This window comes from Homo sapiens, chromosome 17 (genome assembly GCF_000001405.40).
Source record: "Homo sapiens chromosome 17, GRCh38.p14 Primary Assembly".
Classification (NCBI taxonomy): domain Eukaryota; kingdom Metazoa; phylum Chordata; class Mammalia; order Primates; family Hominidae; genus Homo; species Homo sapiens.
Window position 1 is genome coordinate 38460222 of NC_000017.11, and position 15247 is coordinate 38475468.

General features: G+C 58.4%; 1 protein-coding gene across 11 annotated transcripts in view, besides 5 other annotated features; it reads left to right on the forward strand.

The window, feature by feature from the left end:
* ARHGAP23 (Rho GTPase activating protein 23) overlaps nt 1-15247 on the forward strand; it is a 93111-nt gene that overhangs the window by 40947 nt on the left and 36917 nt on the right. For 10 of the 11 annotated variants that reach the window (XR_429909.4, XM_006721991.2, NM_001199417.2 and 7 more), the window contains exons 3-11: nt 684-711; nt 2625-2720; nt 2897-2975; nt 3107-3161; nt 5946-7110; nt 8923-9078; nt 9303-9414; nt 9626-9683; nt 11642-11785. Coding sequence is in view for 10 of the 11 variants with exons in the window: in XM_006721991.2 (XP_006722054.1) it covers nt 684-711; nt 2625-2720; nt 2897-2975; nt 3107-3161; nt 5946-7110; nt 8923-9078; nt 9303-9414; nt 9626-9683; nt 11642-11785 (1893 nt within the window). In the remaining variant the exon portion in view is untranslated. Of the gene's footprint in view, nt 1-683; nt 712-2624; nt 2721-2896; nt 2976-3106; nt 3162-4746; nt 4963-5945; nt 7111-8922; nt 9079-9302; nt 9415-9625; nt 9684-11641; nt 11786-15247 lie in introns of those variants that run through there. The other variant, XM_011525075.3, reaches the window with a different exon arrangement.
* Nucleotides 125-753: an enhancer, noted in NCBI's record as "H3K4me1 hESC enhancer chr17:36616590-36617218 (GRCh37/hg19 assembly coordinates)". NCBI's record gives its function as "activates a minimal SCP1, AML or CMV promoter by ChIP-STARR-seq in primed H9 embryonic stem cells {active_cell/tissue: H9 hESC(primed)}" and the evidence as "EXISTENCE:reporter gene assay evidence [ECO:0000049][PMID:30033119]".
* Nucleotides 3307-3601: a silencer, noted in NCBI's record as "tiled region #7659; HepG2 Repressive non-DNase unmatched - State 20:ReprD". NCBI's record gives its function as "represses a minimal TATA promoter and a strong SV40 promoter by Sharpr-MPRA in HepG2 cells {active_cell/tissue: HepG2}" and the evidence as "EXISTENCE:reporter gene assay evidence [ECO:0000049][PMID:27701403]".
* Nucleotides 4611-5402: an enhancer, noted in NCBI's record as "H3K27ac-H3K4me1 hESC enhancer chr17:36621073-36621864 (GRCh37/hg19 assembly coordinates)". NCBI's record gives its function as "activates a minimal SCP1, AML or CMV promoter by ChIP-STARR-seq in naive H9 embryonic stem cells {active_cell/tissue: H9 hESC(naive)}" and the evidence as "EXISTENCE:reporter gene assay evidence [ECO:0000049][PMID:30033119]".
* Nucleotides 9054-9690: an enhancer, noted in NCBI's record as "H3K4me1 hESC enhancer chr17:36625516-36626152 (GRCh37/hg19 assembly coordinates)". NCBI's record gives its function as "activates a minimal SCP1, AML or CMV promoter by ChIP-STARR-seq in primed H9 embryonic stem cells {active_cell/tissue: H9 hESC(primed)}" and the evidence as "EXISTENCE:reporter gene assay evidence [ECO:0000049][PMID:30033119]".
* Nucleotides 11912-12412: an enhancer, noted in NCBI's record as "H3K4me1 hESC enhancer chr17:36628374-36628874 (GRCh37/hg19 assembly coordinates)". NCBI's record gives its function as "activates a minimal SCP1, AML or CMV promoter by ChIP-STARR-seq in naive H9 embryonic stem cells {active_cell/tissue: H9 hESC(naive)}" and the evidence as "EXISTENCE:reporter gene assay evidence [ECO:0000049][PMID:30033119]".

Here is a 15247-nt window from a genome sequence, read left to right on the forward strand (position 1 = left end):
GGTGCCAGAATCCTCTCCCCTAACTCTCATTTTCACCTCCACTCTCTCTCACAGAAGAACTTCCATTGGCTCCCTCTTTCTGTCCTGTAAGCCTGAGTGCTTTAGCCTGAGTATTGTCACTTGCTGTTGTTGACTTTCTCCTTTAACTCAGCGATTCAGCCCCTGGTGTGCTGTGAGCGCTTATCCCTGCCAGCCAGCGTCTGCACACCCCGCCTCCCTTGTCCACAGTGCCTTCTACCCGCCACCCTCAGATGTCTTTTGAGTCCCCTCCCCAGGAGGACTCTAATCAGTCCTCCCCTTGGTATTCCCTGGAGCTGATAGCTGTAGTTTGCGCTTGTCACGTGCCTATCTGTGACTGCCCGCGTCTTCTGTGTGTGTGAGCCTGTGTGATGCCTCCCTCGTTGGGCTGGGAGCTCCCCCAGGGAAGGGGTCTTGGGTCACTTGTTGGATTGCGGGTTCCCTGATGGTTAGGGTGTTGAGGCGATGGGAGCACATGTCACTGGGGAACTTGGCCTCGGACTTGGTGCCCCTCGGACACCCCTCCCGCACCCTCCCCTGCTGGGCTACTTGGGAGGAGATAAGGGGTGGCGGGAACCTGAAGGGGCCCTGCCCACTGGAGCTGGGCCACCCCTGGCTGCTGAGGGCTGGACTGACGCCCACACCCACTCCTCTGTTCCCTGCAGGAGGAAGAGAATGGAGGCCGTGGAGGAGGTAAGGGAGGACTGGCGGGCGCTGGACCTGCACGGGACTCCTCTTCCAGCTCCTGTCTCTCCCTGTCCTCCCCTAAGACTGCCTGTCCTTTTCTGTGCCCCCCTCCCTTGACTCCTGTTCCTGCCTTTGCTCCTGTCTGTGCCCCTGGTCTGGCCCCCTCTGGGCACCTCCTCCTCACTCTCTCTGTCCTCCCCCTTTCTTTTCGCACATTTGTCTCCCTTGGGCATTTCCTCCACAGAAGTTTGCTGAGCTCGGCACACTGTGGGCGGCACTCTGGGGCGCAGATGGGTGTCTGCCACCTGGCCCCTGCCCTCAAGCTGCTCCCAGCCTAGAACAAGGCAGGGCAGGGCTGCAGGGCCTGGGGGCTGGTGGTGGGAGCGCTGAGCAAAGGCTGTCCTTGGAGGCGGAGACAGTGGAGTCCTGGTGGAAGTCAGGGATCCCCCAAGGTCTTTCTCTCATATGATGTGAGCCTGACTCCCCTTGCTGTGGCTCTTGCTCCCCAGAGGCCCCTGGTGGACACCCAGGCCCCCAGGTTATTCAAGGCAGAGTGCCTTCTCTGGCAGCCTTCCTGCTCTGCCACTGGGGCTTTCGCTGGGCAGCCATAGGACACTCCTGCATCCCCATCCAGAGGCCGTGATGAGGGAGGAGCCCGCTGACCTAGAGCGGCCCATTTCTCTGTTAGCTTAGAGTTAGCAGCACTTAGGAGCAGAGAAACTTTGTTGGGGTGCAATGCGATTTGTGCCCACCCTAGGGGCCTCGGACCTCTGCTTGGAGTCCCTTGAGCCTGGGGAAGGGAGGAGGTGGGGGATGTGAGTATTAGGTGTCTTGCTGGGTCTGCGGGAGTGGGCATCCCTGTGAGGAGGGCGTCTGACTCTGCCACATGTCTTCAGAACTGTTATGGCCTCTTGTATGGCGCCCTTTCCTCTGTCTCGTGACTTGTGTGTGCTGCACATGTGTGTGTGAGAATCTGCCTCCCCCACTGGACAGGGAGCTCTGGAAGGACAAGGGCTGTGCTTGTTCATCCTTTTTTTTTCTTTTGAGATGGAGTCTTGCTCTGTCACCCAGGCTGGAGTGCAGTGGTGCTATCCGGGCTCACTGCAACCTCCACCTCCCGGGTTCAAGCAATTCTTCTGCCTCAGCCTCCTGAGTAGCTGGGATTACAGGTGCCCGCCACCGCGCCCGGCTAATTTTTTTATTTTTTAGTAGAGACAGGGTTTCACCATGTTGGCCAGGCTGGTCTTGAACTCCTGACCTCATGATCTGTCTCGGCCTCCCAAAGTGCTGGGATTACAGGCGTGAACCACCGCACCCGGCCTTTTTTTTTTTTTTTTTTTTTTTTGAGACAGTGTCTTACTTTGTCACCCAGGCTGGAGTGCAGTGGCACAATCCCGGCTTACCACAACCTCTGCCTCCCAGGTTCAAGTGTTTCTCCTGCCTCAGCCTCCTGAGTAGCTGGGATTACAGGCATGCGTGCCACCACACACAGCTAATTTTTGTATTTTTAGTAGAGACAGAGATTCACCATATTGGCCAGGCTGGTCTCGAACTCCTGACCTCAAGTGATCCACCCGCCTTGGCCTCCCAAAGTACTGGGATTACAGGCGTGAGCTACCATGCCTGGCCTGTTCATCCTTTTTAGTGTAGTTTTTAGCACATGAAGAGGACACAGGAGGTGTTTACGGAGTGACTCTTTGTATGTCCCCATAGGTTTTCTTTCTCCCAGGTCTGTGTCCTCCTGTTGGGTTCTGTGCCTCCATGGACCTGTCCAGTGTCCTCGTGGATGTTTGAGCCTGTGCATGTTTGTGACCGGACGAGTGCAATCATTCTCTGAGTGTGTGTCCCCTGTGTGTGTAGCTGTGCATGGGTGTGACCTTCCCCAGCCACCCCCAGCTAACCTGGCTGATGCCCACTAGGACCCTCCCCCCGGTACCGCCTGGAGCCCATGGACACCATCTTTGTCAAGAATGTGAAGGAAGACGGCCCTGCCCATAGGGCGGGGCTTCGCACAGGTGAGCTGGCCCAGTTACCTGGGCTCTACTTTCTACCTTCTGGCTAGGATTTTATTCTCAGATCCAGGTGTTGGGGAGGCTCCTGTCCCCACAGTGTTAGCCATGCCTGGTACAGGGGTTCTCAGATGGGGCCTTTGATGCCCTTTGGTCACCACTCATGCGCTCCTTGTCCCCAGGAGACCGGCTGGTAAAGGTGAATGGGGAAAGCGTCATTGGGAAGACCTACTCTCAGGTCATAGCTCTGATCCAGAATAGGTGAGTGTCCCTGACCCCTCGTCCCATATTATCTCCCCTCCCCTTTGCCCTGGGGATGCCCTGGAGACCAGGATCCCTTCCTCCTGGACCCTGTTCCTTGACCCAGCCTGACGTTCTGCCTGTCTCTGTAGTGATGACACTCTGGAGCTGTCTATCATGCCCAAGGACGAGGACATCCTCCAGCTGGTGAGTCCAGCCCCTGTGGCCTGAGAGGAGACCCCTGAGCCCTGGGGCAGCACCGGCTCCCCTGGGAGGCAGAGAAGGAAGTGTTTGGAGGGCACAGGCCGACATTGCCCAGTTGGGGATGCCAGGCCCCTCCCTGGGCTGGGGCTGGTTGTTGCTTCATTCGGAGCTGCTCTGTGCTGGGGGAGCGGGAGACCTGGCCTTGGCAGGCAGGATTCCTGCCAGGGTATCTGGAAGGAGGGTGGCCCAGCAGGCTCTGCCAGCCTGGCACGTTCTTGTCAGCTCCTAGGAGAGATGCCTCTTCCCTGCACCCCCTCCCTGTCTGGCCCTGAGTGAGGGTGTCTCTGGTGGGTGTGTCCACACAGGCACCGAGCACACATCGAACACTGCTCAGCACACTGCACCCCACCCACCGTCATGTGCACCACACAGTACCCGAGCAGTACACAGCCACACAGCACAGCCCCACAGTCCCACCCTCTGTATAGCACGAAGCACACCACAACACACATGCAGCACCAGGCACGTGCCGCAATACAGACAACCACACAAGCACCCACTGCCACAGTTCACCCTCATACAGCGAAGTGCACCACAACACACACCCACAAACATTAAAACACGACACACTCACCAGCCCCTTGGCTCCCTGCAGTACAAACAGCATAGTACCTTGCACACTCGGACCTCCACAACTACACACCCACGCCGCACTATCACAACATGTATGCTCGCAAACACCGCGGCATCCTCCTGCCCATCTCAGCACGTGCGCCCACCCGTGTCACAGGACTCCAAATTTATACATTCGACACCTCAGCATACCTAGAAGACAGCATCCAGCCTGCCACACAGAGAGCGTGGCCCAGACACTGCACGAAGCAGGCCCTGCACTCCCAAGCATACCCTTCCACACACACACACACACACTCACACTCACACACTGCCTCTTTGTGCCTGGAGCCCCGGCGGTCCGCTTTGCCCAGTGCCCACCTCCCTGGTCTCATGGGTCCCAGCCAGATGGCGGCTTACTTGCCCCTGAGGTCACTGTCCCTGGGGAGGCCCTGGGAGCCGCTGTGCTGGCTTCTGCCTTGGACGCACTCTCCTAATCACTGTAATCACAGTGCCATGCCTGGCATGATGCCCTTCTGGAAACCTCCACCCCTGACCTCGATTGTCCCCTTGCTCTTCCTGGGGAGAGGGAGGAAGGAGGGGGGGATCTGAGGTGGACTGCTTACCCCAAGTCTCAAGGCCCTGCCTGTACAGCTCCCCCAGGCTGAGGCGAGGCCAGCTATGGGGCAGTGACAGGGTGGGACCCTAGGGTGTCCCCCACTCTCTCCAGTTGGCAGGGGCAAGGAGTGGGAAGGGCAGTAGCCTCAAGTTCTGCTGCCCAGGCTGGGGTGGGCTGGCAGCGCCAGATGACAGCATCTGGGGGCCTCCACTGGCCCCCGCATCTCTGCCAGCCGGAGGGTGGGGCCCAGGCATTCCTGTGGTTGGAAGCCAAGGCTGGAGGCCAATCGGGCCTCGGCAGCTGCTGACGCCACCACCGACGCGGCGAGGCCCCTCCACACCCATCCTCTCCTCCCTCCTCCTCCCGCCAGCCAGCCGAGAGAGAGTCGGGTGGGGGTGAGGGGGAGCCGCAGGGAGGGCAGACGGAGGGGGACCGGAGGCCCTGGCCAGGGCAACACAGTGGTCAGTGGCGGGGTTAGCCGGAGCTGGGGGTGGGCGGAGGCGGGCTGGGATGCTGCCGCCGCCGTGATGATGCCGGGAGCCTGGGGAGACGGCGGGATGGCAGGAGGGAGAGGTATGTGTGTGCCGGCCCTGTGCCAGCTGGAGGGGGCTGAGTGTGCGGGGGTGTGGTTTAGCTTGTCCTCATCACATGATGTTTGTGCCTGGGACTGGAGGTGTAGTTATTTGTGTGTGTTTCATTGTGTTCTACTGTGTGTGTGTGTGTCTCTGGGTGTGTATCTTCCAGTGTCTCCTTGTAGTGTGGTGTGTGTGTGTGTTTGGTTTCACCCTCCCACCCTTTGGTTCTTTGCCTTGAGTTAGGCTCCTGGGCAGCTCAGCAGGGGCCAGGCTGGGCCCAGGCCACAAGGCCGCTGTCCCTGGGAGCTGACTCCTTTTTTGGCTGGGCCTGGGCGCTGGCCCTGTCACTCCTTAGCAATGCAGCGTCAGCCTCAGCTCCCAGTGCCAAATTCCAGGCCCAGGGGTGGCAGAAGGTGGCTCAAGTCCCCTCCTTCAAGCCTGGCAGGAGGTGGGCAAACTCCTTCTCACCCCTGTGGCTCAGGAGCCAGCTCCCCATTCCCGGGGATGGAGGGACAGCTGGGCTCTGCCAGCCTCTGCCCCACCCAGACACACCCCTAGCCGGCTTTCTTCTCTCATCTGCCACCTTGACTGGTCTCGGTGGGGTTTTCCGGCTCCACCCGAGGAGCTTTGGGCATTGGTGGACATAAGGGGGCAGGCAGGCGGTGGAGGCCAGGACTGGGGGAGGACCCCAGGAAACAGATGCTGGAATGTTTGTGGCTAGGGCAGTCCTTGTCACAGTCTTAGCGAAATCCCACTTTTGCTGGAGTTTGCCTGCGTCTCAAAGGCTTCTTGCTTCTTCTTTGTTCTCTCCCTGGACCTGCCCTTCCACCCCCACCCACTTATGCCTCTCCCTCGTTCCCCCCACCGCTTGGTCCTCTCCCTTCATTTCCCTCCTGGGCTCCTTGACCTCCTCGGGCTGCCGTTCCCCTACCCTGTGGGACTTGTCTGGCCCTGCTTACCTGTCTCTGTGTCTCTGGCCAGGCCTACTCCCAGGATGCCTACCTGAAAGGGAACGAGCCGTATTCTGGAGAGGCCCGCAGCATCCCAGAGCCACCCCCGATCTGCTACCCCCGCAAGACCTACGCCCCTCCTGCCCGGGCCTCCACCAGGGCCACTATGGTGCCTGAGCCCACCTCAGCACTGCCCAGTGACCCCCGGAGTCCTGCTGCCTGGAGTGACCCGGGGCTCCGTGTGCCACCTGCTGCCCGTGCCCACCTGGACAACTCTTCCTTGGGGATGAGCCAGCCCCGCCCCAGCCCTGGTGCCTTCCCCCACCTCTCCTCGGAGCCCCGGACGCCCCGTGCCTTCCCAGAGCCTGGCAGCCGGGTGCCCCCCAGCAGACTGGAGTGCCAGCAGGCCTTGTCACACTGGCTGTCAAACCAGGTACCCCGCCGGGCGGGGGAGAGACGGTGCCCAGCCATGGCCCCCCGGGCCCGCAGCGCCTCCCAGGACCGGTTGGAGGAGGTGGCTGCCCCCCGCCCGTGGCCCTGCTCCACCTCCCAGGATGCTTTGAGCCAGCTGGGCCAGGAGGGCTGGCACCGAGCTCGCTCAGATGACTACTTGAGCCGGGCCACCCGTTCTGCCGAGGCACTGGGGCCAGGGGCACTGGTGTCACCCCGCTTTGAGCGGTGTGGCTGGGCTTCCCAGCGTTCGTCTGCCCGCACCCCCGCCTGCCCAACTCGGGACCTGCCAGGGCCCCAGGCCCCACCCCCGTCTGGCCTGCAGGGCCTGGATGACCTCGGGTACATCGGCTACCGGAGCTACAGCCCATCATTCCAGCGCCGGACCGGCCTCCTCCATGCGCTCTCCTTCCGGGACTCACCCTTTGGGGGGCTGCCTACCTTCAACCTGGCCCAGTCCCCTGCGTCATTCCCACCAGAGGCCTCCGAGCCACCCAGGGTTGTACGGCCGGAACCCAGCACCCGGGCCCTGGAGCCTCCTGCGGAGGATCGCGGCGATGAGGTGGTCCTGAGGCAGAAGCCCCCGACGGGCCGCAAGGTTCAGCTGACCCCCGCAAGACAGATGAACCTTGGATTTGGTGACGAGTCCCCAGAGCCAGAGGCCAGTGGGCGAGGGGAACGCCTGGGCAGGAAGGTGGCCCCTTTGGCCACCACCGAAGACTCTCTGGCTTCCATCCCCTTTATTGGTGAGTGATGGTACATGTGGCTGTCCTGGGGGACTTAGCTGTCGGCTGTCTGTGTCCTGCTGTACCCCATCTGCCTGTCTGCCATGGGCAGAATTCGGCTGGGTGCTGGTGGGATCATCTTGTTTCTCTGTCAATTCATTCATCTGTTCATCCATCCATCCATCTGTTCTTCCATCTTTCTTTCTGTTCTCTGTCATCCTTTCTTCCATCCTACCTCTCATTCATTTATCCTTTCAGCATCTTTCCACGCACTCTTTCTTTTTTCCCTCTCCCCATCCATCCATCCATCCATCATCTGTTCTTCCTTCCTTCTTTCCTTCCTCTCTCCCTCCTTTGTTCATTCATTTGTTCCATCCATTCATCCATCTATCCATCCATCTATTCTTCCTTCTTTCCTTCCTCTCTCCCTCCTTCTTTTGTTCATTCATTTGTTCCATCCTTTCTTCCACCCATTCATCCATCTTTCTTTCCTTTGACTCTTCCTTCCATTCTCCCATTCTTCCTTCCATCTTCCCTTTGTATCTTTCCCTCTTTGTCCTTTCCATCCACCCTCCATCCCTCCATCGACTCAACAGATATTTGTGTCAGGCCCTGTGCATGGCTCCATGCTCTCCTGGACTGGATGGCCCAGCAGAGGGTGTTGGACATGCAGGGACAATCCATTGGGATGGGCGTGTCGTGGGACAGGGAGCTTGAGGAGACGGGCTCAGAGAAGGGCTATGGTGAGAATCTTGGAGAAAGAACATTTGGGCTAAGACTTGAAGGATGAGAAGGAGTTTATCAGGGGAAGAATATTCAAGGAGAGGGAATAGAATATGCAAAGACCCTGAAGGGAGAGAGGCAGGACCCCCTTCCAGGTTGTGAGGACCCTTTCAGGCCCAAGGGTCTCATTAGTCACTGGGGTTGGCTTTTGAGAGCAGAGGGAACCCTCTAAGGCTTGCCTTGCCTTCGACTGGATGCAGGAGAGGGAGAGGCAAGAGAGTAGAGTGGCTGGGTGATGCCCAGGTTTCTGGCCGGGCTTGGGGGTGGTGCCTCACCCCCGTGTTGGGAGTGAGAGGGGGACAAAGTTCAGGACTGTTGAATATGAGGTGTCCAAGAGGGAGCAGGATAGACGGGGCTGGGGAGAAAGAGCAAGATGCAGGGTAATGGAGAGGGATGGTGGTAGATGGGAGATGAGCTCACCCTACCAGACAGTGAGAGGGAGGAGGCCTGGGGCAGGGGGAAGACACAGCCCTGGCTCCCCCAGCCAGCCTTCGGTGGAGCAGAGACACAGCCCCTTCTGCTAGTAAGGAAGGCTCTAGGCTGTGGCCGGGAGAGGCAGTCTCTTCTTCCACAGCACAGTCTGTTTGAGGGGGAGATGTCATCTCTGCCCTTGAGGAGCCCCAGCTGATGGGGGAGCTTTTGCCCTTAGGAAGCTCTCAGTCTGATGGGGAAGACACTGCCCCTGCCCTCAGGAGGCTCTTGGTCTGAGAGGGGAGACATAATTCATTCTCTCTGAGTGCCCTCAGTCTGATGAGGGAGACACCGTCCCTGCCCTCAGCAGGCTCCCAGTCTGATGGGGGAATATTGGCTCTGTCCTCTGGAGCCCGGTCTAAGGAGGGTGGCTCAGCCCCACTCCTGAGGGTAAGGATTCCATGGCCACAGTCTGGACAGTGGGCCAGTCATGCTTGACAGTGGGCATGTTGCCAGCAGGACCCTTTGGGATGTGTCTGAGCCTGGAGGCGAGTGGCACGGGGGCTGGCAAGGCTAGGGTGGAGGCAGGCAGGCTCCGCTGTCTGCTGCCTTCACACCTTTCTCCTTCCACATGCATAGATGAGCCCACCAGCCCCAGCATTGACCTCCAAGCCAAGCACGTCCCTGCCTCTGCTGTGGTCTCCAGTGCCATGAACTCAGCCCCTGTCCTGGGCACCAGCCCATCTTCCCCGACCTTCACTTTCACCCTCGGACGCCATTACTCGCAGGACTGCAGTGAGCACTCCCCACACCCCCAGCCCCACCCTCTCCCTCGCTGCCCAGTCCCAGGGGTCTCTGTTGGGCCTGCTGCTTGATGTCTGGCCTCTTCCTCTGGTTTCCGCTTCTCCTGCGGCCCCTTGGGAGAGTCACCTCCTGCCCCTGCCCAGAAGGGAGGGCTCTGGGAAGCCCCTGACCTGCTGCCCCGCTGACCCTGAGGCCCGATGTGGGCGGCTTTGCAGGCAGCATCAAGGCTGGCCGCCGCTCCTCCTACCTGCTGGCCATCACCACGGAGCGCTCCAAGTCCTGCGATGATGGACTCAACACCTTCCGCGACGAGGGCCGGGTTCTGCGGTGAGGCCCTGTCCGGACACGGGGTGGGGTGGCCACAGCCACCGTGGCCAGCTGCTCTGGGGCAGGGCTCTTGGCCCTGGGGGTCCTCTATGCATGGGACAGTGTGCCTCCCCCGCTGGAAGGCTTCTGGGCTTGGGGTTTGGTGGGTGACGAGATAGTGAGGTCCCAGCTTTGCTGCCCACATCCCTCACCCTCGACCCTCGCTTTCCAGGCGCCTGCCAAACCGCATACCCAGCCTGCGGATGCTCCGGAGCTTCTTCACCGACGGGGTGAGAGCTGCAAGTGTGTGTGCGTGCGCAGGAGCGAGGGTGTGGGGAGAGAGGGTGTCAGGGAGGTGGGGCCACAGCCTCGGCATGGGGGTTCCTGCTCCAGCTCCTGCCTTCCTCCTCCTCCCTGCACCCCTCACCCTCGTGTCCACCGCGGGACCCGCCCTCTGCTGTGGGCCCCGACATCCCTGAATGACACCATGCAGCCCCGCCCATGGGCCCTCGTCTGGACTGCCTCTTTCCAGACCCATCCCCCATAGCCACATGACTCACTTCTCCCCTGTCTTCGCGGCTTTTTAGGTCTTCCCTGAAATTCCAGCCTCCGCTCCTGACATTTCACGCCTCCCTTCGCTACTCTATGTTTTCCTCCTCAGCACGCCTCATGCACAATTGGTGTTTCCCTTCCTCCCTGCCTGGCTCCCCAGCTAGAATAGAAGCTCCCTGAACTTATATTTGGGGCTTCATTTGTTTCCTTCACTACCCTCAGTCAGTATTTGCATCGCGTCTTGTCTTCATGGGATGGGGTCGGGGTGGACACTGGAAAGGTGTGGCCGGGACACAGGGTTGAGACTGGTGGACAGGTAGAGTTCCCAGCCTCAGGACCTGGGGAGGCAGGATCAGGCCTGTGATAGCCCTGGCTGTTTGTTTGTTTTGAGACAGAGTCTCACTCCATTGCCCAGTCTGGAGTGCAGTGGCATGATCTTGGCTCACTGCAACCTCCACCTCCTGGGTTCAAGCTATTCTCCTGCCTCAGCCTCCCGAGCAGCTGGGATTACAGGCGTGTGCCACCACGCCTGGGTAATTTTTGTATTTTTAATAGAGACTGGGTTTCACCATGTTGGCCAGACTGGTCTCGAACTCCTGACGTCAGGTGATCCACCCACCTCGGCCTCCCAAAGTGTTGGGATTACAGGCGTGAGCCACCGCACCTGGCCTCAAATGATTTTCTTGCTTCGGTCTCCCAAAATGCTGGGATTACAGGCATAAGCCATCGCACCTGGACATATTTTTGTTTTTAAAATCATACATATATTTTTCATGCATGATTTTTCTTTCTTTTTTTTTTTTTGAGATGGAGTCTCACTCTATTGCCCAGGCTGGAGTGCAGTGGCACGATCTCAGCTCACTGCAACCTCCACCTCCTGGGTTCAACCGATTCTCGTGCCTCAGCCTCCTGAGTAGCTGGGATTACAGGCATGCGCCACCACACCTGGCTAATTTTTGTGTTTTTAGTAGAGATGGGGTTTCACCATGTTGGCCAGGCTGATCTTGAACTCCTGACCTCAAGTGATCCACCTGTCTCAGCTTCCCAAAGTGCTGGGATTACAGGCATGAGCCAGCGTGCCCGCCCCACCTTTCCCTGGCTGTTTTTGATTATAGATGGACTGGAAAAGCCATCTTGATGTCAAGCGCTCTGTCTCATTGGTTGGTTGAACACCCTGGTGATATTGGCACCTAGCTTATTTCTTATCACTTTTTCTGCTTACTTAACTCTCCCTTGACTTGCGCCCTCTGGCTGGAGTCCTGTTGAGACTGTCACTTCCTCTGTTTAACTCCTCGTGGACATGACTACCTGCTCCACTCACTCAGCCTTTGTTGATGTTCCCACTTCCCCTGTTTATTTAACTCCTCGTTGACACGATCACTTCCTCCATTTCCTTGATTCTTCTAAGTCTATAAAGTTATGGGAGGCTCCGAATTGGCTCCTGTAGTGTGGTGAGGCGTGTGGTCTGCTGACAGGTCGTAGCCTTTCCTCCTTTCTGGCTTCTCCTTTATGTACGTCTCATGACCTCAACACAAGTGGTCCAGAGAGGACAAGCAATGCCCATGAGGTCGCACAGCACATCGGGGTGTAGCACAGACATATATCAGGCCTGTGCGGCCACAAGTGGTCCATGGGGTTCCTGAGATGCTGGCATTGTGGGAGCCACCCTAAATTGTCCTCTGTTGTCTCCCTGCAGTCCTTGGATAGCTGGGGCACCTCTGAAGATGCTGACGCTCCTTCTAAGCGACACTCAACCTCTGACCTCTCAGATGCGACCTTCAGCGATATCAGGAGAGAAGGCTGGTTGTATTATAAGCAGATTCTCACCAAGAAGGGGAAGGTAAGATGGGTGGAGGAATGAGGTGGAAGCTGGCTCCAGCAGAACCCTCCAGCCTCTCCTAGGCCTACCCTGACAGCCTCTGGAGCCAGAGAGAACCAGTGTAGGTTGTTGCATGAAGGATGGAGGTTAGATGCTAGGAAGAACTTCCTGGCAGGGGGATTTAAAGAACTTATGTAAAAGAAGTTAACAAGAGAGGTGGATTTTGCTGTGGGATGGATCTGATCGAGTCGTGCTTGGAATATTCTGGCAAAACCATCCCACACGGGCCCTGGCTTGACAGGCCATCCTGAAGATGGCCGCTGGGGCTCATGGAAAACAAGGAGCAAGGCCGGGGTGATTTCCGTAGGAGAGCTAAGGCCCAAGAAGACGCAGGCAAGCCAGCAAAGGGCTTAGTGTTCATCCTAAGGGCAACCAAAAGCTCTCGGGGGCTCTTGCCAAGGGAGTTACAGCTTTAAAATATTCATTTGGCTCCCTGGGAGTGAGTTAGGGAGGGGCCATGCTGGAGGCAAGAAGACCAATTAGGAGCCACCGTGGAGATCCAGATGAGAGGCGAAGGGGGCTTCGGGGAGTAGTTGGGGAGGGCCTGGGAGGGAACCAGCAGGACTCTGAGAGGAGAAGGGCAGGGCCCCTGGATCCATGGGGTGCAAATCCTGGCCCCAGGCTGCGCTGTGGGCTGGAGAAGTGGGAGGAGAGACCACTGCCTTCCCTCCTGGCGATTAGGATGAACCCGGGTTTGACTCTTGACTGCATCACCCATTGCTCTGAGAGCCTGGGTGACTCACCTGGCCATGACTCAGTGTCCTCTCCTGTAAATGGAGCTAACAGTAATCCCTAGCTCATAAGCCTATTGCTAAGGATTAAATGAGATGATCTAAGTAAAGGGTTTACCCAGTGCCCGGCACTTGAAGCTGCTGTACTTCTGCTTACTGCTATTTGTTTTCTTTTTTTGAGACGGAGTCTCGCTCTGTTGCCCAGGCTGGAGTGCAGTGGCGCGATCTCGGCTCACTACAACCTCCACCTCCTGGGTTCAAGCAATTCTCCAGCCTCAGCCTCCTGGGTAGCTGGGACTACAGGCACTCACCACCAAACCCGGCTAATTTTTTTTTTTTTTTTTTTTGTATTTTTTTAGTAGAGACGGAGTTTCACCATGTTGGTCAGGCTGGTCTCGAACTCCTGACCTCAAATTATGTGTCTGCCTCGGCCTCCCAAAGTGCTGGGATTACAGGCGTGAGCCACCGTGCCCAGCCCGCTTACTGCTATTTGAATTTTCTACCCTGCCTTCTGGGGTCTTGGGGGTCCCTGGAAAGAACATAAGCTTTGAAGCAGACAGACTTTGAGTTCCTATCCGGCCACATATCAAGCACGTGGCTTTGGGCACCCCACTTACCTTCCCTGAGCCTCACTTTCTGATCTGTACGATGGGAACAATGTTATCCTACCCCAAGGGCTGCTGTGGATTAAGTGAGGGTGAAGTCGAGGCGGGACTGGCGCTCCTCTGTGGAGAATGACTAAGGCCGCCCTGCTCGGGAGCCTCCGTGGAGGTTCTGGGGAGTTAGTGGTAAGGGAGCCAGGGCAGCCCTGCCCTCCTGGGGCTCCTGTCGCTCCTGTTGAGCAGAGAGAACGCATGTGGCGTCATGGTTCCCAGTGCACAGACTGCCGTGATGCCGGGGTGCGGGGGCGGGTGGGCGTGGGTAGGGAGGTATCCAGAGGCTGAGACACGAAAGGGTGAGAAGCCACAAAACTGGGAGACAGTGGAGGGGCCTGACAGGGAAGATGTCTCCTTAGAGGGTCCTGGGGAGAGGGGTGCTGGGAGCCAGGGCGAGAGGTGGAAGATGAGCTGGGGAATTGGGTGCCTGCCCAGAGTGTGGGGCCTTGATACCCAGGAAGAGCCTGTCCAGGGTTTTATTATTTTATTTTATTTTATCTATTTTTGAGACGGAGTTTCACTCTGTTGCCCAGGCTGGAGTACAGTGGTACGATCTCAGCTCACTGCAACCTCCGCCCCCCAGGTTCAAGCAATTCTTGAGCCTCAGCCTCCTGAGTAGCTAGGACTACAGGCGCCTGCTACCACACCCAGCTAATTTTTGTAGTTTTAGTAGAGACTGGGTTTCACTATGTTGGCCAGGCTGGTCTTGAACTCCTGACCTCAAGTGAGCTGCCTGCCTTGGCCTCCCAAAGTGCTTGGATTACAGGCGTGAGCCACCGTGCCCAGCTCTGTCCAGGGTTTTAAATGTGGGCTGGGGATGGCAGGAGACTGGGGTTATGTCTGTGACAGGAGGAGCCAATCCCATTGCCCTTGTCCAGGTGAGTGAGGCTGGGGGCCCTGACCCAAGGCAGTGGTGTGAGGCCGGGTGGAGCAGACACTTTAGAGAGAGATTCCAGGGGAAGGAGGGCCAGGGCTTGCCGGCTGCTGGGAGGTATGGAAGGAGGAGGAGGCGATAAGGTTCCTGGATTCCTGGCTTGGGCTGAGGGAGGGTGGTGGGTGGTGGGACCCTCCCTGGGCCATGGCATACTGGAGGAACAGGTTTGGGGAGAGGAAGCCAAGTGGCTCCACTGGGGCTATGTGAGTCTGAGGGCCCTGGGACAGACCCCAGTGGAGGTGTCCTGGGGACAGAGGCTCTGAGGGCGTGGCACTAGAGGGAGGCCCACCTGGGGATGGCCTTTGTCTGTCAGCACCGACGAGTTACCTGTGCCTCTGTGCAGGGGCTTGAAGGAAGAAGGCAAGAGACCCGGCTGAGCCTTGAGAGAAGTGGGGGGGCCGGGGAGGCTGACAGAGACCAAAAAGAGCCAGCAAGTTGGCAGTGACCCATGGGGTGGGAGCCATGAGGCAAGGAGGGACCAGCCATGTGCACTGTGCGAGGAGAGCCACGTGTGGGCCAGCCCTTCCAGTCTAACGTGTGAGCCACATGAAGGGTCCTTGTGAGGGTGGCTGGCTCCCCCTGCCGGGGAGCCTGACCCTCAGCTCCTGGGGGCCCTGAGCCCAGTTCAGGGACAGGAGCTGTCCCCTTCCTGCTCACTGGCCAGTTCTGGAGGACCAGGCCTCCACTCCCTTGCTGGCCAAAACCCGATATCACTTGTTCTCTTGGTGCCGTGGCCTGGACGTTAGAGGAGAGTCTTCAAGTCAGCCTCAGGCCCTTGGTCCACCCAGGCCGTGGGCACCCTCTCTGTGCTCCCTCCCAGCCCCAGCCTCTTTCAGAGACACGGACTGTCAGGCAGAGGAGGGAAAGGGACAGTGACTTGTCCCCGCAGCCTCAGCCCCAGCATGGGAGCTGCATGCAGCCTTGGTGACCAACTCTCTCACTCATTTACCAGCCGGAGACACTGAGGCCTGGGAGTGCGGTTGACTTGTCCTAGGTTATGCCTCTGGTTTAGCCTCAGAGAGGTGCCCTTGTCACCACCTCACTGTCACATTAAAATTCTCCCTGGAGGGCTCTGCTGTCTCCTGCTCTGAATGTCCCTGTC